The sequence below is a fragment of the Homo sapiens genome, chromosome 1, assembly GCF_000001405.40.
Source record: "Homo sapiens chromosome 1, GRCh38.p14 Primary Assembly".
Lineage (NCBI taxonomy): Eukaryota > Metazoa > Chordata > Mammalia > Primates > Hominidae > Homo > Homo sapiens.
In genome coordinates this window covers 225942922-225966485 of record NC_000001.11, presented here as the reverse complement: position 1 = coordinate 225966485, position 23564 = coordinate 225942922, and the positions used below count along the sequence as shown (strand labels likewise).

Here is a 23564-nt window from a genome sequence, read left to right as displayed (position 1 = left end):
AAGAATAACAAGGCAGCATTGCTGTAAACATGTCTTGCCTCCCACCATAGGGCGGTTTTTCTCCTATCTCAGAATTGAACAAATGTACAGTCGGGTTTTATACTGAGACATTCAGTTCCCAGGGGCAGGCAGGAGACAGTGGCCTTCCTCTATCTCAACTGCAAGAGGCTTTCCTCTTTTACTAATCCACCTCAGCATAGACCCTTTATGGGTGTCGGGCTGGGGGATGGTAAGGTCTTTCTCATCCCACAAGGCCATATTTCAGACTATCACATGGGGAGAAACCTTGGACAATACCCAGCTTTCCAGGGCAGAGGTCCCTGCGGCTTTCCGCAGTGCATTGTGCCCCTGGTTTATTGAGACTAGAGAATGGCGATGACTTTTACCAAGTATACTGCTTGTAAACATGTTGTTAACAAGGCACGTCCTGCACAGCCCTAGATCCCTTAAACTTTGATTTCGTACAACACATGTTTTTGTGAGCTCCAGGTTGGGTCAAAGTGGCTGGGGCAAAGCTACAAATTAACAACATCTCAGCAAAGCAACTGTTTAAAGTACAGGTCTTTTTCAAAATGGAGTCTCTTATGTCTTTCCTTTCTACATAGACACAGTAACAGTCTGATCTCTCTTTCTTTTCCCTACACTATGGAACATTCTCTCTCTCTCTCTCTCTCTCTCTCTCTCTCTCTCTCTCTCTGTAGCAATTTTACTGAACTGGTGCTGCTCCTTTTGTAGGAGGACTAACCCATAGGCACTGTGCCCAGAGTCAGCCTGAACATTCTAGAACTTGCTTTTGATCAACACCTTGTATTAGGGACAGAACTAAAGGGACAGAACTAATAGGATGTATGTATATATGAAAGGAAGTTTATTAAGGAGAATTGACTCACAAGATCACAAGGTAAAGTCCAACGATAGACTCTCTGCAAGCTCAGGAGCAAGGAAGCCAGTAGTGGCTTAGTCTGAGTCTCAAAACCTCAAAAGTCGGGAAGCTGACAGTGCAGCCTTCAGTCTGTGGCCAAAGGCCCGAGAGCCCCTGGCAAACCACCAGTGTAAGTCCAAGAGTCCAAAAACCAAAGAACTTGGAGTCTGATGTTCCAGGGCAGGAAGCATCGAGCACGGGAGAAAGATGAAGGCCTGAAGACTCAGCAACTCTGCCCTTCCATCTCCTGCCTGCTATTTCTAGCCATGCTGCCTCTCCCAGTCCACTGCCTCAAATGTTAATCTCCTCTGCTACCACTGTCACAAAAAAACACCCAGAAACAATACTTTGCATCCTTCAATCCAATCAGGTTGACACTTTTTTTTTTTTTGAGACAGAGTCATGCTCTGTCGCCCAGGCTGGGGTGCAGTGGCGCAATCTTGGCTCACTGCAACCTTTGCCTCCCTGGTTCAAGCAATTCTCCTGCCTCAGTCTCCTGAGTAGCTGGGACTACAGGTGCGCGCCATCATGCCTGGCTAATTTTTGTATTTTTAGTAGAGACGGGGTTTGCCATGTTGACCAGGCTGGTCTTGAACTTTTGGCCTCAAGTGATCTGCCAGCCTCAGCCTCCTCCCAAAGTGCTGGGATTACAGGTGTGAGCCACCACGCCCGGCCACAATCAAGTTGACACTTAATATTAACCATCACACACATGAACATATTTCTGTTGATTATATACCTATGCTGGTCACAGGATGTGTAAATATTCAGCTTTAGGAGATATTGGGAGAAATAGCAACACTTGATATACATATATATACACATATATATATACATATATATACACACATATATATACATATATATACATATATATACACACATATATACATATATATACATATATACATATATACATATATATACATATATACACGCATATATATACATATATATACATATATATATACACATATATATGTGTGTATATATATACATATATATATACACATATATATGTGTGTGTGTATATATATATATATATATATATATATATATATATAAAGTTGTTGGTTTTCACATTTTTATTGGGAGCCATGCGAGGGGCCTCTTCTGTCAGTGGAGGTGCTCACACTTTCTTCAGCCACTCCAAGCTGGGGCCCTGGGGGCCCTGGGGGTGGCTGCACATGTCCGCATGTTCCCATCATCGTGGACGGGCACTGGATAGTTGTAGGGTGTGGCCTCATTGATCATGATGGAATACTTGGTGTAGGGGCTGAGTGGGGGCAGAATTACAGTGAGGCTCCCGATGACGAAGGAGACCACCAGCACTGGCTCCTTGGCCCAGGAGTTCTTGAGGAAGGCGCCAAGTCTCACAACCATCTTGGTCTCGGCTTTATATATATATATATATATATATTTATTACAGTGGGAGTGTGTGAGTTTGTGTGTGATTAGAGATTTCATCTCACTATGTTGCCCAAGCTGGTCTTGAAGGGCTCAAGCAATCCTCCCGCCTCAGCCTCCCAAAGCACTGAGAATAGAGGCATGAGCCACCGTGCCCGGCCACATCACGTATTAACTTGCATTTCCCTGATGACTAATGAAGCCAAGCATTTTTTCCTGTTGATTGGCCACGTGGATATCCTCTTCTACCATGTGCCTATTCTAGTCTTTTGCCCATTTTGTGAGGTTTTTTTTTTGCCATTTTTTTCATTGAATTGTCTGACTGTCCTTTTCTTATTGACTTTTTTTCTTTTTTTTTTTGAGATGGAGTCTCGCTCTGTTGCAGTAGTGCGATCTCAGCTCACTGCAACCTCTGCCTCCTGGGTTCAAGAGATTCTCCTACCTCAGACTCCTGAGTAGCTGGGATTACAGGGGCCCATGACTATGCCTGCGTAATTTTTGTATTTCTAGTAGAGATGGGGTTTCACCATATTGGTCAGGCTGGTCTCGAACTTCTGACCTCAGGTGATCCGCTCACCTCGGCCTCCCAAAGTGCTGGGATTACAGGCGTGAGCCACTGCGCCCAGCCTCTTATTGACTTTTAGCAAGTTTTTCTATATTCTGGATTCAAGTCCTTTGTCGGGTATATGAATTATGAATATCTTCTCCCACACTCTGGCTTGAATTTTCATTCTTATTGGTGTCTTTTGAGGAACAGGACTTCTTAAATTTAATATAGTTTAATTACCAAGTTTTTGTAAATAAGAATAGCCTAAATCAATACTGAGAAGTCATATTATAGCTGTTATACCGGTAACAAAACAAGAAAGCTAATTTTGAAACTTCCCTGTACTGCTGAGGATTCTGGGAAACAAATACACTCATTTCATTGCTCAAGATTTTTTTTAATTTTTAATTTTATTATTATTATTACTACCATTATTATTTTTGAGGCAGAGTCTCACTTTGTCGCCCAGATTGGAGTGCAATGGCGCGATCTCGGCCTACTGCAACCTCCGCCTCCCGGGTTCAAGCGATTCTCGTTCCTCCACCTCCAGGTGGGAATACAGGCACCCACCACACCCAGCTAATTTTTGAATTTTTAGTAGAGACGGAGTTTCTCTACTACAGAGAAAGGAGAGGCAGGCCAGGCTGGTCTGGAACTCCTGAGCTCAGGTGATCCGCCCGTCTCAGCCTCCCAAGGAGCTGGGATTACAGGTGTGAGCCACGGTGCCTGGCCGAATTATTATAAAATATATAATTTTTAAACATTTGATAAGCTCTTGCCCTAACCCTTCCTCTCTTACAGGGCGTCTCATAGTCGCTGCCTGAATCCTCCGGCTTGACGTTAAGTTAGAAGAGCAGGAGTTTTTCCATTAACCAGTTAGGGACTCTGGGCAAGTCCTTTGACCTCTCTGTCCTCGGTTTCTTCGTCTGGGAGGACCCTCTGCACCCCCTGGGTTTAGAGAAGATATGACCGTTCAGCAAAAGCACCTGAAGACAGCGCTGCAGAGGCACGGTCAGCACCGTGATTCCCATGTCTGCAGCGACCCCTGCTGGCTGCCGGCCCGGGCTCGGGGTCCACCGAAGCCCGCCTCCAGCCCCTACTTCTGTGCTTCCTGGAGGGCACTGCCCAGGAGCCTGGGCAGCTGCAGGTGGGTGGGTCCTCTGAGTCCGTTTTCCCCAGTCCTCCCTTTCGTCTTCTTTCCTCCTTCCCCCGCTACAGCCTGGGGTGGGACAGGAACCCCGAGAGACCTCACACAATTCTTCCCGGTAACTATCCCCCACCCTTGGACATTGCTTGACCACTTTAGTGTGCAAGACCTTTTTCACGAATACTCTTTCACTGGCGTGCTCAGAAGGAAATTTCTTTGAATGTGTGGGTTTATGAAGACAGCTTATACAGCCAAGAAGTACTTCCTTCAGAAACTAAAAATTCCGGCCAGGCGCTGTGGCTCACGCCTGTAATCCCAGCACTTTGGGGGACCGAGCCGAGCGGATCACAAGGTCAGGAGTTCGAGACCAGCCTGGTCAACATGGAGAAAACCCATCTCTACTAGAAATACAAAAATTAGCCGGGCATGGTGGCACATGCCTGTAATCGCAGCTACTCGGGAATCTGAGGCAGGAGAATTGCTTGAACCCGGGAGGTGGAGGTTGCAGTGAGCAGAGATCCCGCCACTGCACTCCAACCTGGGCGACAGAGTGAGACTCCATCTAAGAAAGAAAGAAAGAGAGAGAGAGAGAGAGAGGGAGGGAGGGAGGAAGGAAGGAAAAAGAAAAGAAGGAAAGAAAGAAAGGAAGGAAAGAAAGGAAACTAAAAATTCTAAGACATCCCAAGGGAGGATAGGACTCTTCCCCTAGACATCCCCTCTAGGGGATGTGGCGGGTGGGGTCTGGACCACAGGTTCTGGTGCCTTGCTTCATTCTCCATCCCCACACTTCATGGAGTTGATGTTCTCACATCTCATGGTTGATCAAACGGAGTGTCCGAGTGGTTAAATAACTTGCCTAAGCTTCTAAGTAGGTAGGTGAGGTAGGTTATTGGCAGAATTTATCTGTCGAGACTTCAGAGTTTGTGCATTAAAAATAAAATAGAATAAAAATTCTTTTTTTCTGATTATTTAAAAAAAAGCTTTCAGAGATTCTGGAAAATATATAAAGAATATAAAGATGAAGCTGAACATCACCCAGATGTCCTCAACTCAGTAATAGTCATTGTTAATACTTTGGTAAATATCCTTGTTTGTTTGCTTTTCTGTGTATATTGACTGAAATCATATATTATGAGTGAAGATGATATGTGTTCCTTTTTGATTTGACATTGCATAGTATGAGCTTTCTTTATGGCATGTAAAATTCTTCCACATGTGGTTTTTAATGACTATATAACAGTTTTCTCTGTGTATGCACCATCATTTGACCTTTCTTGTTTTGTGAGGCATTTGCATTTCTTAATTTTTTTGAAATTGTATAAAATCTTTGCATATTGACCTTTGCCTGAATCTCAAATGATCTCCCTGGGACATTCACAGATAGGTTCTTACTGGCGCTAGTCTATGAATATATGTACGTATATATTTTTTGAGACGGAGTCTCACTCTGTCGCCCAGGCTGGAGCATAGCAGCGCGAGCTCGGCTCACTGCAAACCCTGCCTCCCAGGTTCAAGTAATTCTCCTGTCTCAGTCTCCCTAATTTTTGTATTTTAGTAGAGACAGGGTTTTGCCATGTTGGCCAAGCTGGTCTTGAATTCCTGGCCTCAAGTGATCTGCCCACCTCGGCCTCCCAAAGTGCTGGGATTAGAGGTGTAAGCCACCACACCCAGCCAAGGAGATCAATATTTTTAAGGTTCTTGACACATATTATCAAGATACTGCACGACAAGATGACACCTGTAAGTGTGCCTAGCAACCATCTCACTGCTCCCTCACCGATGCTATTCCCTTCTCAAAAGAAGTCTTTTTTTTTTTTTTTTTGAGGCAGGGTCTCGCTCTGTCACCTAGGCTGGAGTGCAGTGGCATGATCTCGGTTCACTGCAACCTCCGCCTCCCCGGCTCAAGCAATCCTCCCACCTCAGCCTCCCAAGTAGCTGGGACAACAAGCATTTGCCACCATGCCCAGCTAACTTTTGTATTTTCTGTAGAGGTGGGTTTCGCCATATTGCCCAGGTGGGTCAAAAGAAGTCTTTATTAATTTAGTGCCTGAACAATGCCACCTTCCACTGATTAAGGCTGTTTTTTTTTTTGTTTGTTTGTTTTTTGAGACAGAGTCTTGCTCTGTTGTCCAGGCCAGAGTGCAGTGGCACAATCTTGGCTCACTGCAACCTCCACCTCCTGGGTTCAAGGGATTCTCCTGCCTCAGCCTCCTGAGTAGCTGGGATTACAGGTGGGCGCCACCACACCCAGCTAATTTTTTGTATTTTTAGTAGAGATGGGGTTTCACCATGTTGGCCAGTCTGGTCTCGAACTCCTGACCTCGTGGTCCGCCTGCTTCGGCCTCCCAAAGCGCTGGGATTACAGGCGTGAGCCACCTCAGCCAGCCAAGGCTGTGTTCTGAGGCTTTCCACACTCCATGGATGATGGGATCCTTGCTGAAAGCAGTGGGATCAAAGAGCCTCTTGGATTCCTTATTTTATTTTGTTTTTATTATTTTTTGACACAGGGTCTTGCTCTGTCACCTAGGCTGGAGTACAGTGGTGCAAACACAGCTCAGTGCAGCCTCAACCTACTGGGCTCAAGGGATCCTCCTGCCTCAGCCTCCTGAGTAGCTGGGACCACGGGTACATGCCACTATGCCCAGCTAATTTTTTTAATTTTTTGTAGAGACAGGGTCTCACTTTGTTACCCAGGCTGCTTGACCTTCTGAGCCCAAGCGATCCTCCCAAAGTGCTGGGATTACAGGTGTAAGCCACTGTGCCCGGGTCCCTTCTTTTATTTATTTTGTTTTTTAAAGCATTTACATAGTGTTTTCCATGTTCTGGGAACTGTTTAGAGCCTAATAAACAGCAAGTGATTTACAAAACCTAGAAAAAAGACTCTATTATCCTCCTCATTCTGCAGATGTTGAAGCCAAGGCAAGGAGGGTACCCAAGACCACCTGACTCTGGAGTGGTGAACTGGGCTCCGGCCTGGGCAATGTGGCTCAGGGCTCTGTGGGCTTGGCCAGCACATGACATTGCCTGGGAGTGGGCGCAAGGCCACTCAGAAGCAGGAAGGAACAGTGCAGGCTGGAGGGGTCTCTGCTGAACGAAGAAGCCAGCATCCTTGATGTGGGTCTCAGCCACGGATTTCCTGACATCACTTTATTTCTTTTAGGCTCAGTCTTATTTCTTTTTATTTCTTTTTTTTTTTTTTTTTTTTTTTTTGAGATGGAGTCTCACTCTGTCACCTAGGCTGGAGTGCACTGGTGTGTTCTCGGCTCACTGCAACCTCTGCCTCCTGGATTCAAGTGATTCTCCTGCCTCAGCCTCCCGAGTAGCTGGGATTACAGGCACGCACCACTATGCCCAGCTAATTTGTGTTTGTTTGTTTGTTTGTTTTTGAGATGGAGTTTCACTCTTGTTGTTCAGCCTGGAGTGCAATGGCATGATCTTGGCTCACTGCAACCTCCGCCTCCTGGGTTCAAGCGATGCTCCTGTCTCAGCCTCCCAAGTAGCTGGGATTACAGGTGCCTGCCACCACGCCCAGCTAATTTTTTGTATTTTTAGTAGATACAGGATTTCACCATGTTGGCCAGGCTGGTTTCAAACACCTGACTTCAAGTGATCCACCCGCCTCGGCCTCCCAAAGTGCTGAGATTACAGGCATGAGCCACTGTGCCAGGCCATCCCAGTCTTATTTCACTGATGGTCTTTCAAAGCCAGGTCACGTTAACTGGGGCCAGTGTCCTTTAGGGTGGCAAGAATGCCACTTGCTTTGCAAGCAAGGCTGTGGCTCAGCCCTCCTGCAATGAGGCAAGAGTAGAGGCAGATCTGAAGGGATTATACCCAGGATTATACCTGTGCGTCCCTGTGCCAGGGCCTTCTCCAGGCCCACTGCTCAGTCGGTGGCAGGGCTGCATCCGTTCAGTCAACGTGGAAGGGCCTCTGACCCCAAAAGAAGGAAATTCTGAAATCAGCTGCTCAGTGGGAAGCTGATGGAAATCCACATTAGCATGGCCTGGGCCCAGCCACACTTCGTATCCTGTCCACTATCATCCTGTTAACTAAACACTGAGCTCCTCAAGGGTGGGACCCGGGCTTTGTATCCCCAGCTCTGAGGTGGCTGATGATGGATAGGTGCTCAGTAGATGTGGATTGCATGAATGAACTGTGGATGGGATTAGCCTGCTGCCCAGAAGTAGCCCATCTACTAGGATTAGGAGATTGTTTACCCATTAGATTAAGGGGCCAAAGGTGCAGCCTAGACTGGTCAGGGGGCGTGGGTTCAAATCCCAGCAGGACACCCTGACCCTGTTGACATGGCAGTCACACTGCAAGGCCTTGGATGAATTAGTTTGTGCGTTTTGGCCTCAGTTTCCCTTCCAAAGTCCTCCATTGTTTTGAGGGTAGAAATAGAACATGTGTGACAGCAAGGAGACCCAGCCCGGGTAGATGTAGATGCAAACGCTGCACACTGAGCCTTAAACGGGGATCAGGGAGCCACAGCGTTCCTCGTTCATTCCCATTCTTTTATTTTTTATTTTATCTTATTTTGTTTTTAGAGATGAGGTCTCACTATGTTGGCCAGGCTGACCTTGAACTCCTGGGCTCAAGGGATCCTCCTGCCATGGCCTCCAAAAGTGCTGTGATTACAGATGTGAGCCACTGTACCCAGTTCACTCGCATTCTTGGTCCTTCTGAAGAGAGGTGACACCATTTGAAGCTTCAGGGTTAACTTTTTCCCCCTCCTCAAAAATGATTTTCTTAGAGGGGGCTCTGCTCTTTAGATAGTGTTGCAACCTCTGGGAGGCAGGCATCGAAGCCACAAAGCTCCCTGGGGATCTGCCTGGAAATATCTCTCACTGCCTGAGGCTGGACTCTAGGAAGTTCTAAATTCTCCTCCCACCTTTGATAAATTTAAGAAAAAACCACAGTGACGTGGCAAAGGTAGAGGAAGGAACGGTCCCATCTCCGCTGCTGTGTCTTCATTGACCATGCCTTCTTTCTGAAACCCTTTCCTCTCTCGACTTTGTTTTCTCACTTTCCTGCTATTCTCCCAGGCCCCAGCTGGGACCCTCCACTCTCCCTAGAACTGGGCCCAGGTGGGGTCAGTGGGATACTCACCTTGGATGCAAAATCTAAGAGGGCACCAAAGAATTGAGTAATCATGATAAACAATATTTTAATTTAACATTTTTTAAGTGAAAATTAACACCAAAAAATCACAATGAGCAAAATATCAAAATATATATATATATTTTTTGAGACAGGGTCTCACTCTGTTGCCCAGGCTGGAGTACAGTGGTGCAATCACAGCTCACTGCAGCCTCGACCTCCCCAGGCTCAGGTGATCCTCCCACCTCAGCCTCCCAAGTAACTGGGACTATAGGCGTGCACCACCATGTCTGGCTAATTGTTTTTGTATTTTTTGTAGAGGTGGGGTTTCACCATGTTGCCAAGGTTGGTCTTGAACTCCTGGGCTCAAGCAATCCCCACCTCAGCCTCCTAAAGTGCTGGGATTACAAGTGTGAGCCACTGTGGCTGGCCCAAACTTCTTTTTTTTGAGACAGAGTTTCACTCTATCTCCCAGGCTGGAGTGCAGTGGCGCAATCTCGGCTCACTGCAACCTCCACCTCCCAGGTTCAAGCAATCCTCCTTCCTCAGCCCCCTAGTAGATGGGATTACAGGCACACGCCACCATGCCAGGCTAATTTTTGTATTTTTAGTAGAGACAGGGTTTTGCCATGTTGGCCAGGCTGGTCTCGAACTCCTGACCTCAGGTGATCTACCTGCCTCGGCCTCCCAAAGTGCTGGGAATAAAGGTGTGAGCCATCGTGCCCGGCCCAACTTTTAAATAAAGTCAGAATCCGTCTCTCTCTTTCTGTGACATTTGTTTTTGTGACATCAAGTATTACTTCTATTTGGACAATCCACAGATTTCTCTTTTAAGCCCTGACTTCCTCTCTTGAGTAAAAGTTGTGGGTCTGCAGCTGCCTTCTGAAGACCCATGGAGAGGTCCACTCAGGGAGGACCTGATGCCTTCTGCAAAGAGCCAAAGAGGAGCTGAAGCCTTCAGCCAACAGCCATGTGAGTGAATCCTGCAGGTGGATCCTCGGGCCCCAGGTAAGCCTTCAGCCGACTGCAGCCCTAGCCGACATCTTCATGGCAACCTCATGGGAAACCCCGAGCCAGAACCATGCAGCTAAACTGTTTCTAGATTCTTCATCCATAGGAATGGTGAGACAATAAATGCTTGGTGTTTAAGCCACCGAGTCAAGATAATTTGTTACACAACAATCTTTCTCTGGAGAGGTTCTGGTGGATGTCTCCAAAGGGCTTCATAAGTGTCCTTCTCCTATATCATCTGATGATGGCCTCTTCCCCCCATGGCTCCAGGTACCACCTACATGCTATGCTGATGTTGCCCAGGGTCATGGTTCCGTAACTTCTCCTCCCAGATTTCCCACAGGCTCCTCATCACTCAGACAGAACCTGATGTCTTCTCCCTTGAAATCTGGACCCGCCTCCTCTTACAGGCTGGGAGTCTCCTCTGCCACATCTACTCGGTCCTTGGTCACCATAGACTCACCTCCTGGATGGCTAGTGGCTTTATCCCATTTGCTACTGCCATGATTCAGGTCCCACAATTTTTCTTCTGTGTGACCACAGAGGCCACTCCTCCTGGCCTCCTTTCCTCCATTCCCCACAAGGCTGATGAGCGAGCTTTTCAAACCATGACAGTCTCAGAAATCCCACTGTCTTCAGAATAAAGTGGAAACTGCTGATATGGTCCCCCACTCCCATACCTCTAATGACCGCTAGGTTCAACCAAGACCTCCTTGGCTTGCTACACAGAAACATGTAAACCAAGCCATGGTGGGTCTGAGGGGCAGGGCTCAGCCAGACTGGTGGTTCCTCATGCTGGGACAATGCAAACAATCGGACCCCTGCTACCCTCCCAACGAGTGTCAGACCAGCCTCGAGCCTTTGCTCCATGGTCCTTAACTGAGGAGAGAACATGAGCGACCTGTTTAAGGTGACCATATATACGTTATCTATTTCATACCAATTTTTAGAAAAGGTGGCTCAGTGGCCAGGTGTGGTGGCTCATGCCTGTAATCTCAGCACTTTGGGAGGCTGAGGCGGGTGGATCACGAGGTCAGGAGTTCGAGACCAGCCTGACCACTAAAAATACAAAAATTAGCCGGGCGCGGTGGCATGCGCCTGTAATCCTAGCTACTCAGGAGACTGAGGCTGGAGAATCACTTGAACCTGGGAGGCAGAGATTGCAGTGAGCTGAGACTGGGCCACTGCACTCCAGCCTGGGCAACAGAGTGAGATTCCAACTCAAAAAAAAAAAAAAAAAGAAAAGAAAAAGAAAAGGTGGCTTGGCTCACACCAGTGAGAGCTGCCATCCCCATGGCCTCCAGACGGTCTCCAGACTGCCTTGCAGAGGTCATCCCATCCACCTAGCTGGAGTCTTCCTTTCTCACAGACTCTACAGGTGTTTTGGTAAAGTTTGGGCTCCTACATACAGTCCCCCAATCTGCATACCTCAGAGGTTTCTCCAGGCTCTGGGCACAGGTGGGTGCTCCTTTGTTTAGGGGAGGCTTCCTCAGGACAGAAGGAAGGGGCTACCCAGCCCTGAGGTCAGTACCCCTAGGGAAGCCCAGAAGCTGCCCATCACCCAGATTGAGAAGGGATCTGGGTGATGTCCAAGGTGGCCTCTTGTGCTCACAGCCCCCGTGGACCTCCCAGTGGATAAGGCCTCGATGCCTATGCTCCTGTCCATTGCAGTCAGCACATGGCTGAAATTCACAATGGGAGAGCTGCCCAATGGGAGTCTTTGTCCAAGAACAAGTGTTCATCATGACGACTCCCAGCTCTACTTTCTCTATGGTAATAGATGATGGCTTAGGTTGGTCCCCTTTGAAGAACTGACTGTAGAGCAAGCAAATACTTGGGGGGAACATAAAATACTTTAAGATTATAATTCATATTCTCAGAATGATTCCATAATAAAAAAGGAGCTTTGGACATTTTAATATTACTTGTGAAAATAAAAACCCAAATGTCACAGCCAAGAGGAGACAAGACAACGACATGTAATATAGTGTGATGAGTGGGATCCTGGAACAAAAAGTGGACATTAGGTGAAAGCTAAGACAATCTGGGTAAAGTGTGGATTTTGTATCAATATTGCTTCAATGATTATAACAAAGGTACCATACTAATGTAAATGTTAATAATAGAGTAAACTTATGTGGGATATATGGGAACTATCTGTACCATCTTTGCAATTTTTCTATCAATATGAAATTATTCTAAAATAAAAACTTTGTTTAAAAAACAGCAAGAGAAGGGATAAACTATAAAGATATGATATTTCAGAATGTGAGGCCAAGGGCAGAGAAAAACAAAGGAAAGGTGAAATGTAGATATTCCATCAGTTCTAGATCTAGAGAACAGAGATCATGGAGAGGAGATGAAGAGGGTTGGTAGGATGAGATAGTATTAAAAGAAGACAGAAAAGGCAGAGATTTCCCACAGTTAAAGGACTTCAGGCTGGGCGCGGTGGCTCACGCCTTTAATCCCAGCACTTTGGGAAGCCAAGGCGGGCGAGTCACGAGGTCAGGAATTTGAGACCAGCCGGGCCAACATGGTGAAACCCCATCTCTACCAAAATACAAAAATTAGCTGGGCATGGTGGCAGACGCCTGTAATCCCAGCTACTTGGGAGGCTGAGGCAGGAGAATTGCTTGAACCCGGAAAGCAGAGGTTGCAGTGAGCTGAGCTCACGCCAATGCACTCCAGTCTGGGTGACACAGCGAGACTCTATCTCAAAAAAAAAAATAAAGGGTAAGGACATGCAGAGATAGGCTCTCTCACACAAATGAATGAGTCTATAAATTGGTGGAAACTTCTTGGAGGGCAATTTGCCAGAATCTGATAACACTGTAAAATATGTACATCCTTCTCCCTAGTTCTCAGTATCTACCTTAGAGAAATACCCACCTACAGGTGCACAAAGAGGAATGCTCAAGAATTTTCATTGCAGCATTGTTTGTAACATGGAAAAAATCTAAAAGTCCATCAGGCGAATGCTTCTAATTTTTAAGACAGTTTAAGAGTCTCACTGTGTTGCCCAGGCTGGTCTTGAACTCCCGGGCTCAAGCCAAAGGAATGCTTCTCCACCTTGACATAGTATTCAGCAGTGAAAAGAATGGAATTGAACTTGGTGGGCCACCATGGAAATATCTCTAAGACATCTGTTAAGTGAGAAAAGCAAGTTGCATGGAGTTATGTGCAGTTTGATCCCAATTATGTGAAAGAGAAAAGAATGCAAAATATATATTTTGTATGTATATATAAGTACAAATTAATAGAAAAAATGTCTCAAAGGATGCATACCAGAATGATAGCAATGATTAATTACCTTGCAAGAGTTTTCAGAGGCTGGGCATGATGGCTCATATCTATAATCTTAGCATTTTGGGAGGCTGAGACAAGAGGATCACTTGAGCCCAGGAGTTTGAGACGAGCCTGGGCAACATGGAGATCAGTGGGAGCCCGGGGAGCTCATGGTGCTTCTCCTAAGGTCCAGGGGCTCTGCTCCAAGCTCCTCTCATTGTGGTGGGGGGGTTGCTCTGGGACCCTCTCCCCTTTTAGCTTTTTCCAACTCCCAGCCAAATTTGAAAGCCCTCTTCCCAGCAGCACAGTGTTGAAACTGCCCGTCGACAGTTGTAGAGATGTTGAAACATCTCTACAAAAATAAATTAGCTAGGTGTGGTGGCAGGCACCTGTTGTCCCAGCTATTCAGGAAGCTGAGGTGGGAAGGTTGCTTGAGCTCAGGAGTTTGAGGCTGCAGTGAGCTATGATGACACCACTGCACTCCATCCTGGGTGACAGAGCGAGACCCTGTCTCTAAAAAAAAAAAGAAGAAAAAAATGTAAAAGAAGAGTTTGCAGGGAGGCAGGGAAGATGAAGGGGTATTAGAATATGGACGTTTTTGTTTTATCAGGATTGTTTATTTTTATTTATGTATTTATTTATTTAATTATTGAGGCAGAGTCTCGCTCTGTCACCCAGGCTGGAGTACAAGTGGCACGATCTTGGCTCACTGAAACCTCCACCTCCTCTCAGCCTCCCGAGTAGCAGGGATTACAGGCAACCGCCACCACACCCAGCTAATTTTTGTATTTTTAGTAGAAACAGGATTTCACCATGTTGGCCAGGCTGGTCTCTAACTCCTGACCTCAGGTGATCCACCCACCTCGGCCTCCCAAAGTGCTGGGATTACAGGCGTGAGCCACAGTGCCCGGCAGTATCAGGATTGTTTAAATCTTCTACGGTGAAATTTATTTGCTTAATCTAAAAATTATATAATGTTATTAATTGGTGTTTTCAGCATTTAAAATCAATTTGTAAACAAAGGACTGAACAGAATGTAAAGGTTGTCAGACCTGAGCACACACAGGTAAGGATGTAGCTGGTAGAGGTGGTAGATGAGGGGTGCCTCATTGCCTGGCTTTACCTGGTGAAACACTGAGACATTCCCTAAAGCTTGGGGAGCAGGAAATAGAGGTTTTAGTGTATTGTTTAAATGTGCAAAATTAACAAAAAGAACTGAAATTACCAGTGCACTTATTACAATTGGTGGGGGGTAGGGAATGAAATGCCAAAGGGGGAAGGAGCTAAATTCTTGTCTTTCACAACAGGGAGCCAGTAGATATTGTCCAAGTTAAGAATCCTAACTTAGAGTTCAAGGCTAGCCTGGGCAACATGGTGAAACCTTGTGTCTACAAAAAAAAAAAAAAAAACACAAAAATTAGCCAGGAGTGGTGGTGTGTGCCTATAGTCCTACCTACTTGGGAGGCTCAGGTGGGAGGATCGCTTGAGCCCAGGAGGCGGAGGTTGCAGTGAGCCGAGATCACGCCACCGTACTCCAGCCTGGGCGACAGAGTGAGACACTGTCTAAAAATAAAAATTAAAAAAAGTATTCCTGACTTGCTTCCTTTTGACAGTTGGAGTGCCTTTTCTTTTTGGGGACCTGCCACTAACTTCCTATTTTCTGGCCCAGAAACATTTCTGTCTCTTGGCACCACCTTAGAGTTCCTTAAACACGGACTCCTGTGTGTCATTTTTTAAAAGACGGATGGAAGTCGCAACATTTCCCTGCACTTCCATCTGCCCGCTCGCCCTTTCCCTCTACTTCCCTGCCTCTGTCTGTCCTGCCCTGTGCCCAGCAGGGGACCTAGGGGGAGGAGCTAAGCAGGGGGCTGGGACGCTGCTGAGCCTGTTGCTGCTCCGCCTAGGCAGAAGAGGCCGGAGCCCCTGGCCTGATTCCACAGCTCTTTCTTTCAGGACCACCTCCCCAGAGTCCCCCCACAAAAAGGAGCCCCTCAGGCCAGTGGGCTGCGTAGATGCTGGTGGCAAAGCCTGTTGTCCCCTGCCAGCCCTCTTGTCTGCCATTTTCAAGCTACTTTTGCCTTCTGTGCCTCTAGGTCTCCCCTCCCCACTTCTGGGTATGGAGGTAGTGTGTGGATGCCACCTCCTGACTCCTCCTTCTTGCTGCCCTGAAGACCAACCTAGCGGGCCCTTCACTGTCAGCCTTGGAGGGCAGAGTTCACAGCCTAGTGGTGTTCAGGGCTTAAGGTCTTTGCAGGTCTTACACATGGACCTGGTCATTCTACCTTCTCTAGTTCAGTATTCAAAAGATCAGTGGGAGCCCGGGGAGCTCATGGTGCATCTCCTAAGGTCCAGGGGCTCTGCTCCCAGCTCCTCTCATTGTGGTGGGGGGGTTGCTCTGGGACCCTCTCCCCTTTTAGCTTCTTCCAACTCCCAGCCAAATTTGAAAGCCCTCTTCCCAGCAGCACAGTGTTGAAACTGCCCGTCGAGTGGGCGTTATGGGTGGACAGAAGCATCCAGTCGGGATGAGCAGCCCGGCCTCTGTGCAGGAGCAGGTTCCTGCAGATGGGGTCTCCTGACCCAGCCTTGACCAGCCTGACTTCCTGCTCTGCTTCTCTTCCCTCAACCAGCCCTTCCATTCCTCTCTGCCTCTTGGTTTCAGGGAAAAGCAAAGCCATTTAAAGCGCGTAGCACCGTGTACGGCTGGTTCAGACCTTCCGTAAATGTTTGTTAAATGGATAAAAGAATGAAGCTAAAAAGAAAAAAAAAGGCTGGGCGCGGTGGCTCATGCCTGTAATCCCAGCACTTTGGGAGGCTGAGGCGGGCAGGAGTTGAGGCCAGGAGGCACTTGAGGCCAGGAGTTCAAGACCAGCCTGGGCAACATGGTGAAACCCTGTCTCTACTAAAAATACAAAAAATTAGCCCGGCGTGGTGACTCGCACCTATAATCCCAGCTTCTTGGGAGGCTGAGGTACAAGAATCGCTTGAACTTGGAGGTGGAGGTTGCAGTGAGCCGAAATCGCACCACTGCACTCCAGCCTACGCAACAGAGCAAGACTGTGTCTCAAAAAAAAAAAAAAAAAAAAAAAATTGCCACACGCAGTGGCTCAAGTCTGTAACCCCAACACTTTCGGAGGCCAAGGTGGGCGGATCACCTGAGGCCATGAGTTTGAGACCTTCCTGGCCAACATGGTGTAACCCCATCTCTACTAAAAATACGAAAAATTAGCCGGGCATGGTGGCACTTGCCTGTAGTCCCAGCTACTCGGGAGGCTGAGGCAGGAGAATTGCTTGAACCTGGGAGGTGGAGGTTGCAGTGAGCCGAGATTGTGCCACTGCACTCCAGCCTGGGTGACAGAGCGAGACTCCATCTCAAAAAAAAAAAGAAAAGAAAAGAAAAAAAGAGGCACAAGTATTCTGTTTATTGTTTTGGAGGTAAACCCTCAGAACTGACCGCTGGAGTGGGGAAGGGTGGAGTGGAGATTATTGCTTACTGCTTTTCACTGTAGACTCTTCTGTGCTATTTGATTTTGTACCAAGACATGTCTTTAATTACATACACCACACGTGCACACACACATACACCCCTACCCACCCAAAAGGTTCTTTGGAAAACTCATCAGCTCCCACCAGGAACCTCTCAGGGCTCCAAAACCAAGAGGCAGGCCAAATGCTGAAGGGATAGCTTAGCGTTGCATTGCAGAGGAAGCAAAAAGTGTTTCTAGGAGGTGTCAGGGCCGCTTGGTGGCTGGAGTGTCACATTCCCTAATGAACATGCAGGAAGGGGGTCAAATACGCCAGTAGCTTCTCACAAGTGTGGATGGCAAAAGCTCGTTTCCTCTCCACGACAGCTGCAGGGCTGAGCTGTTGATGAAATGCTGCAGGTTTGGAGAAGAGGATCTACCCCAGCAGGACAGGGCTTATCCCGGGGATTCCCAAATGACTCCATATTCATTATTCTGAATTTTGTTTACTTGGCCCACCTTTCCAATTATCTGTCAGAATGTGCAAATCCTCCCTCCCTGCTTATCAGCCACACTCTGGAGATTAGGGAACAGGGTAATGACCCTCATTATCAATACCACAGCCCCCACGGATCCTCTTCCCTGGGCTGGTGAGAACGCTCCCTCTGCTTCATGGACTTAGTACCCACAGCCTAGAAGACACGATCCGAGTCTTTAACATTTTCCATCTAGAACAGGGTGATCCTAAAGAAAGGCCAAGGGAATCCTGTGAGGTCAGGAGAACTGCATCTCCGAGGGAAGGGAGGTGGTTGAAGATGTGTCCCCAGGTGAAATCAGGGTACAGGGGAACAATGTTCCTGCATACACAGTGTTATCACACACCTGGGCTTTGGCAAGCTTAGACTGTCCTGGAAGTGCATACAAGATAGAGCGCTGCTTTGGGGAAGCTGACCAGGGGTTAGGTGTCAGAATAAGAGAGACACTTCTTACCTTCTTCACTGTCTGTATTTTTTTCCTTTTTCTTTTTTTTTTTTTTTTTGAGACAGGGTCTCGCTCTGTCATCCAGCCTAGAGTGCAGTGGTACGATCTTGGCTCACTGCAACCTCTGCCTCCTGGGCTCAAAGTATCCTCTTGCCTCAGCCTCCTGAGTTGCTGGGACCACAGGTGCATGCCACTATGCATGGCCAATTTTTAAATTTTTTGTAGAGATGGGGTCTCAGTATGTTGCCCAGGCTGGTCTCAATCTCCTGGACTCAAGCAATCCTCCAGACTCAACCTCCCAAAGGTCTGGGATTACAAGTGTTGAGCGATCGCACCCAGCCTGTTTTTTCAACTTTAAAGTTGTGTTTGTTGGTTACCAGTTTCCTTAAAGAATACTGGCCTTAATCTGGACTAAAATCTCATGTCTCAAATTTTCCATTTTAAATTTCTTAGCAAAAAAGGTATGATCCATCTATTCTCTCTCTCTTTTTCTTTCTTTCAGCAAATAGCATTTGAGCACCAATTATTTTCTGTGCAGTATGCTCGGCATAATTACAGGATGGAGTAAGAGGGAATCCCTTTGCTGAGCCCGTGCTGTATGGGAGCACCTGGGCATATCTCTCTATGATGCCAGGAGAAGGTGTCATCCCACTGTGTTCATGAGGGACCAAGGGCCACCCGGAGAACCAGCGATGAGCAAAGCAGCGAGAGGCGGGAGTGGTCAGAACAGGACGGGAGGATTTTCATGAAGAAAGTGAGTGTTATGCCGAGGCTTGCCAGATGAGCTGTGATTTCAAAGGTAAAGAAGAGATGAAGGGCACGCAGGCATGGGAAAAAGAATGAGCAAAGAGATGACCATTCAGGGCCTCAGAATGCTGGGGGCGAAGGGCAGTGGCAAGGGCAGGATGTGGGGGTTGGAAAGCCAGGGTGGAACCTGGAGAAGAGCTTCCAGGTAAACTAAGGAGAAGAAACTTCTGTGATGCGGGGAGTCATGATAGTGGCTTCTGATCAGGGGCAAGATAGGAACTTCTCTGCATAAGCATGGAAATGGCAGGCTAAGTGTTCCCAGGCAGGCACAGGTCAGAATCAGCACCTTGGTCTCCTGCCTCCTATGTCAGGGGTCTTGTAGGAGAAAATTTCCGGAAGTACTGAAGCTGTGGGGAAAGATACAAAAGGGTTTTTTGCAGGAGAGTGAGGCAGAGTGGGTGGAGAAGAAACAAAAATTTAGAGGAGGGTGGAAATAATTACACTTTGATAGATCTATTGACCTACATACTGTTACCTTGGAGCATTAAATGTTATGATGCTGAGGCCGAGCGCAGTGGCTCACACCTATAATCCCAGCATTTTGGGAGGCCAAGGTGGGTGGATCATTTGAGGTCAGGAGTTTGAGACCAGCCTGGCCAACATGGTGAAACCTCACCTCTACTAAAAATACAAAAATTAGCCGGGCGTAATTGTGGGTGCCTGTAGTCCCAACTACTTGGGAGGCTGAGGCAGGAGAATCACTTGAACCCGGGTGGTGGAAGTTGCAGTGAGCCGAGATCGCACCACTGCACTCCTGCCTAGGCAACAGAGTGAGACTCTGTCTCAAAAAAATAAATGAATAAATAAATGTTTTAATGCTGAATTTGCATATAACCTGATTATGTTCAGGGTATTTAGAGAGAGAGAAAAGAAACCCCTCTGTTCACCTGTTCTTACTCTCAAATATTCAGAGAAAGCCCAGAAAATACCTCAGGAAAAAATGTTTTTCTAGTTTGTTCCCATTTGTGTTCTTTTCTCTCATCACTGGCAATCATGAAGTGGAGGAATCATCCAGAAGGGCCAGGTTATAAGTGTAATGGAATGACGGAGTTCTTCTCACCTGAATTCTCCGGCAGCTTCCTTGCCTGCTATTGGCCCCCACCTATCCTCACCCTCCCCTGCTTCTCAAACCTAATGCGCATAGAATCTTTAACACTCAGATTACTGGACACTGCCCCCAGCAAAGTCCATTCAGGAGGCCTGAGTTGGGGTCCAGGAATCTGTATTTACACAGGTTTCTCAGGTGATTCTGGGCAGAAATCACTAGCCCCAGAGACTCCCCCATGGAACATCCCCAGACCTGGTGGAAGGTGGGAGGTGCTGGAGCAGTGGGTTGTGGAAAAGCTGTCTGGGGCTAAGAGGAGGTGAGGAATGGGGAGCCCATCCCCAAAGCTCAGGGGCAGCTTGCCTCGTGGCTCCATCATGGCCAAGCTGGGTGGGTGGGATGGCTGGGACGGATAACACCATATTAGGGAGACAGGAGTGGTCCAGGGAGGACAGAGCAAGCGGAGAAGTTTGGGTTATCTGAAGGTCATCTGGGTTGGAAGAGACTTTGGTCCTAAGTGCCTCAGTCCTAACGGATATGCACACCAACAAAACAGCTGGCAGTGCAAAGCATCCACATCCTCACACAGCATCCATACAATTACACCTAGAGCATCTGCAACATAACATCTCCAAAGAAAAAAAAGTCTTCACAACATCTTAAAACCCCTAACAATAGAGGTTCAGAAACAGTCTGCATTTTTTCCACTTTAGTAATTTTTGATTGAGACAGCTTGGTTAAGTAGTATTCCCTGTTCTTCAAACACCGTCCCTCCCACCAGGACAGAAGAGGCTTTTTTTACAATTTTTCAAGCCTGACCTGACCCCACAGCCAGACTCTCCACTCAGACCCTCAGAGGCCCAGCTCCTTCCACTGCATGACAAAGGGTGGCTGCCCTCTCTCCTGACGACTAATCAGACCATTGTAAAAAGTTTCCCAATCCACATTCAAGCTCTTCTTTTGGCTGCTAGCTAATTGCCCAATTATTTTATTTCCCCAAACAAAACTCTTCAGGCTGCCGGGAATCCACATTTAGGACCCAGGCCTGTATCTTGGGCCTCAGGAGTCTGGGGGATTTGGCCTTTGTCTGTTTGTCTGCTTCTCACGCCTCCCTGCCCCCTGCCCAGACCCGACCCTGGGTTGACTGAGTCCCCAGCTTGCCTGGGGCTGACAGATGACCCTACTGGCTTCAGGGGGTCAGGGCAGGACTGGAAATAGTTTGAGGGCATGGAAAGAACTTTGGTCTGGGAGTGGGAAGACCTGACTTTATGGGGGTATTGATTGTGGATCATCGACTGTGTGTGTTTGGGGAAGATGTCATCTCTCTGAGCCTCATTTTCTCGTTTCTAAAACCCGGGGGGCAGGAGCATGGCCTGGATAGCCAATTTCAGTGCTAAGCTCTCTCTGATTCTACAAACTAGCAGGTGAAATAAAGAGGGTAAGTCGCGTCTGGCTGGACAAACCCCTCCATTGGTGCTAAATGTTCCCCAGCTCCTCCACCTAAGGGAGGTCCCCCAACATCAGGAAGGGATCTCAGTTTCCCAATCGTGGATCACTTGCCCAGGCTACCAGCGGCCCCCAGGGCCACCCTGAGCACTACGTCCCAGACACCCATCCCTGCAGGCAGGATCGGTCCTTAGAGAGGCTGGATATTGACTGTGTAGTTTCACTTCCTGTTGAGGGCTCTGCTCTAGCTTTGGTCCTGTGCTGAGGGGCCGATGCAGAAATATCAGCAAGACATCTGGGGGAGGCAGGGAATCAAGAAGGTGGGGGGTCCCTCCAGGGGGAGGCAGGGAATCAAGAAGGTGTAGGGGGGTCCCTCCACTTTGCTATCTTCTCTGGAAATGAGGTTTCAATTTAGCTGGTCTGTTACCCCAGATGTAGAAGGAGCTCCTGAATCCCTGGGGACTTCCAGAGGTTCTCAGCCCTGTGGTGTTTCATAGCTGGAAGAGAACCTCGAATGGGCATCTGCAGGTCAGGGAAGCAGCAGCAGCAGGGGCCTGGCCTCCCTCAGCCCTGGAACAGCAGGTCCCTGCTAAACCAGAACAGGGGCCTGTGAGGTCTCATTGTGAGTGTCCAGCCTTAGTGAGCTCCCAGTGGGTCTATATGTTGGGGTTCTGGGGAGGGGGTAGTGGCATGCAAGGACAGCCTGGGTGTGATATCCTTGGCACCAGTGATAAGCCACAGGGCTTCCTGTCACCCAGCAGCAAGGGTAGTGGACTATTGCATATTTATGAAACACCAGCCCAGAACAGCTTCCAGAGACTGAGGCCCGCAGGTCCCGGCTTGCCTGTAAATGTGACACTTCTGCACCTTTTGGCCTGACTTAAGACCCAAATGTTTGCATCAAGTAAGTCCTTTCCCTGTTAATCACTTGCAAAGAAAGGCAACAGCTTCTCTTTTGAAGAAAGCTACCCTTGTCACAGAGAGAACAGGAGGTCTTGTTTGGACCGGACACAGTGGTGGGAATTTATATTTCACGGGATGTTCCAACTATGGGAGATGAGTGCCAAGATGGGATTTGAATTCCTCCTTGTGAATTACACAAATCCCACGGAAATATAGATGGGAGAGAAAAGGAAAGGGAAACAGAGAAGCAGCTGAGGTCATGATTCTATGACCCCAAGGGTCTCCTTCTCCCACCCCGGGGTCAGCTGTTAGGATTTCTGTATTTCCTCTTACCTTGGTTTGTGGACACATGTGACCAAATCCCTGTTCCTTCCCTTCAGATACCCTGAGCTCTAGCATCTACTATCTGTATGACTTTGGGCTAGTCAGACAGCAGTTTTATGCTCAGTTTCTTCATCTATAAAAAGGAAATAATAACAGCAACTTCCTCCTCAAGTTATGGTGAGAATAAAGAGTTAACAATAAATATAAAACATTCAGAACAGTGCATGGCCCACAAGCACTATTAGCCATTGTGGTTATTATTTATGCTTATCTGTAGAGATGGGGTCTTGCTACATTGTTCAGGCTGGCCTCGAACTCCTGGCCTCAAGTGATCCTCCTGCCTTGGCCTCCCCGAGTGCTGAGATTACAGGCGTGAGTCACACCACACTCAGCCCATTACGTTTATTATCAGTGTTATTCTTATCCCTCCCCCTTCTCTGATGCTAAACACTCCCCCAACACACACACTGCTAAAAGCCCTTCAGACAGCAGTATCATTCTGGGGTATGCTCTCCCCAGTGAGCTAGTGGACTGGCTCATGCCACCAGCACTCAGCTGGAGCCCAGGTCATTTCCAGACACAGAACAAGGGACAGAAACCTAGAAAACAGAGGCCAAAACTGCCCAGAGGCATGGCCTGTACAAAGCCACAGGTACTGGGGGCAGATTGAGGTGGGAGCCCCCCATGCCTCCTCAAACACACACTGTAGACTGGCTGGGTTCAAATATGAGACTTCCATATACATATACATATGCATTTGCATATATATGTGGTGGCATGAAGTCCCTGGGCTTTCATCCAAAAGAAATTCCACCTTCGAGCACCAGAAGATTCCCTCTTCCTCTGCCTGAAATGTTTGAGGACAGAAGCAGGGGGATGACATGGAGAGACCTGTCAGTGACACAGCATTCCCACAAAGGGGCCAGAGTGCCCCCATTTAGAAGGTGAAGGGGGATGACATGGAGAGACCTGTCAGTGACACAGCATTCCCACAAAGGGGCCAGAGTGCCCCCATTTAGAAGGTGAAGGGGGATGCCCCTTGCCCGGCAGCCCCCTTGGCCCAGGGTCCTTGTCCTCCTCCACCATCCTTACTCATGCGACAGAACATGGGCAAGTGAGGCTGTGGAGTTTTGGGAAGAGCTTCCCCCTGCACATCCTCAAATCCCCTATGCCAGTGC

The 23564-nt window shown here is 47.8% G+C and overlaps 1 pseudogene, besides 4 other annotated features; it reads right to left on the bottom strand.

The window, feature by feature from the left end:
* Window positions 1992-2317, bottom strand: NDUFA3P3 (NADH:ubiquinone oxidoreductase subunit A3 pseudogene 3; annotated as a pseudogene).
* Window positions 7069-7239: a silencer, noted in NCBI's record as "fragment chr1:226146947-226147117 (GRCh37/hg19 assembly coordinates)". NCBI's record gives its function as "represses an EF-1alpha promoter that drives an FKBP-Casp9 reporter gene in an ReSE screen in K562 erythroleukemia cells {active_cell/tissue: K562}" and the evidence as "EXISTENCE:reporter gene assay evidence [ECO:0000049][PMID:32094911]".
* Window positions 15000-15537: an enhancer, noted in NCBI's record as "H3K27ac-H3K4me1 hESC enhancer chr1:226138649-226139186 (GRCh37/hg19 assembly coordinates)". NCBI's record gives its function as "activates a minimal SCP1, AML or CMV promoter by ChIP-STARR-seq in primed H9 embryonic stem cells {active_cell/tissue: H9 hESC(primed)}" and the evidence as "EXISTENCE:reporter gene assay evidence [ECO:0000049][PMID:30033119]".
* Window positions 20256-20835: an enhancer, noted in NCBI's record as "OCT4-NANOG-H3K27ac-H3K4me1 hESC enhancer chr1:226133351-226133930 (GRCh37/hg19 assembly coordinates)". NCBI's record gives its function as "activates a minimal SCP1, AML or CMV promoter by ChIP-STARR-seq in naive and primed H9 embryonic stem cells {active_cell/tissue: H9 hESC(naive and primed)}" and the evidence as "EXISTENCE:reporter gene assay evidence [ECO:0000049][PMID:30033119]".
* Window positions 22572-23151: an enhancer, noted in NCBI's record as "H3K27ac-H3K4me1 hESC enhancer chr1:226131035-226131614 (GRCh37/hg19 assembly coordinates)". NCBI's record gives its function as "activates a minimal SCP1, AML or CMV promoter by ChIP-STARR-seq in naive H9 embryonic stem cells {active_cell/tissue: H9 hESC(naive)}" and the evidence as "EXISTENCE:reporter gene assay evidence [ECO:0000049][PMID:30033119]".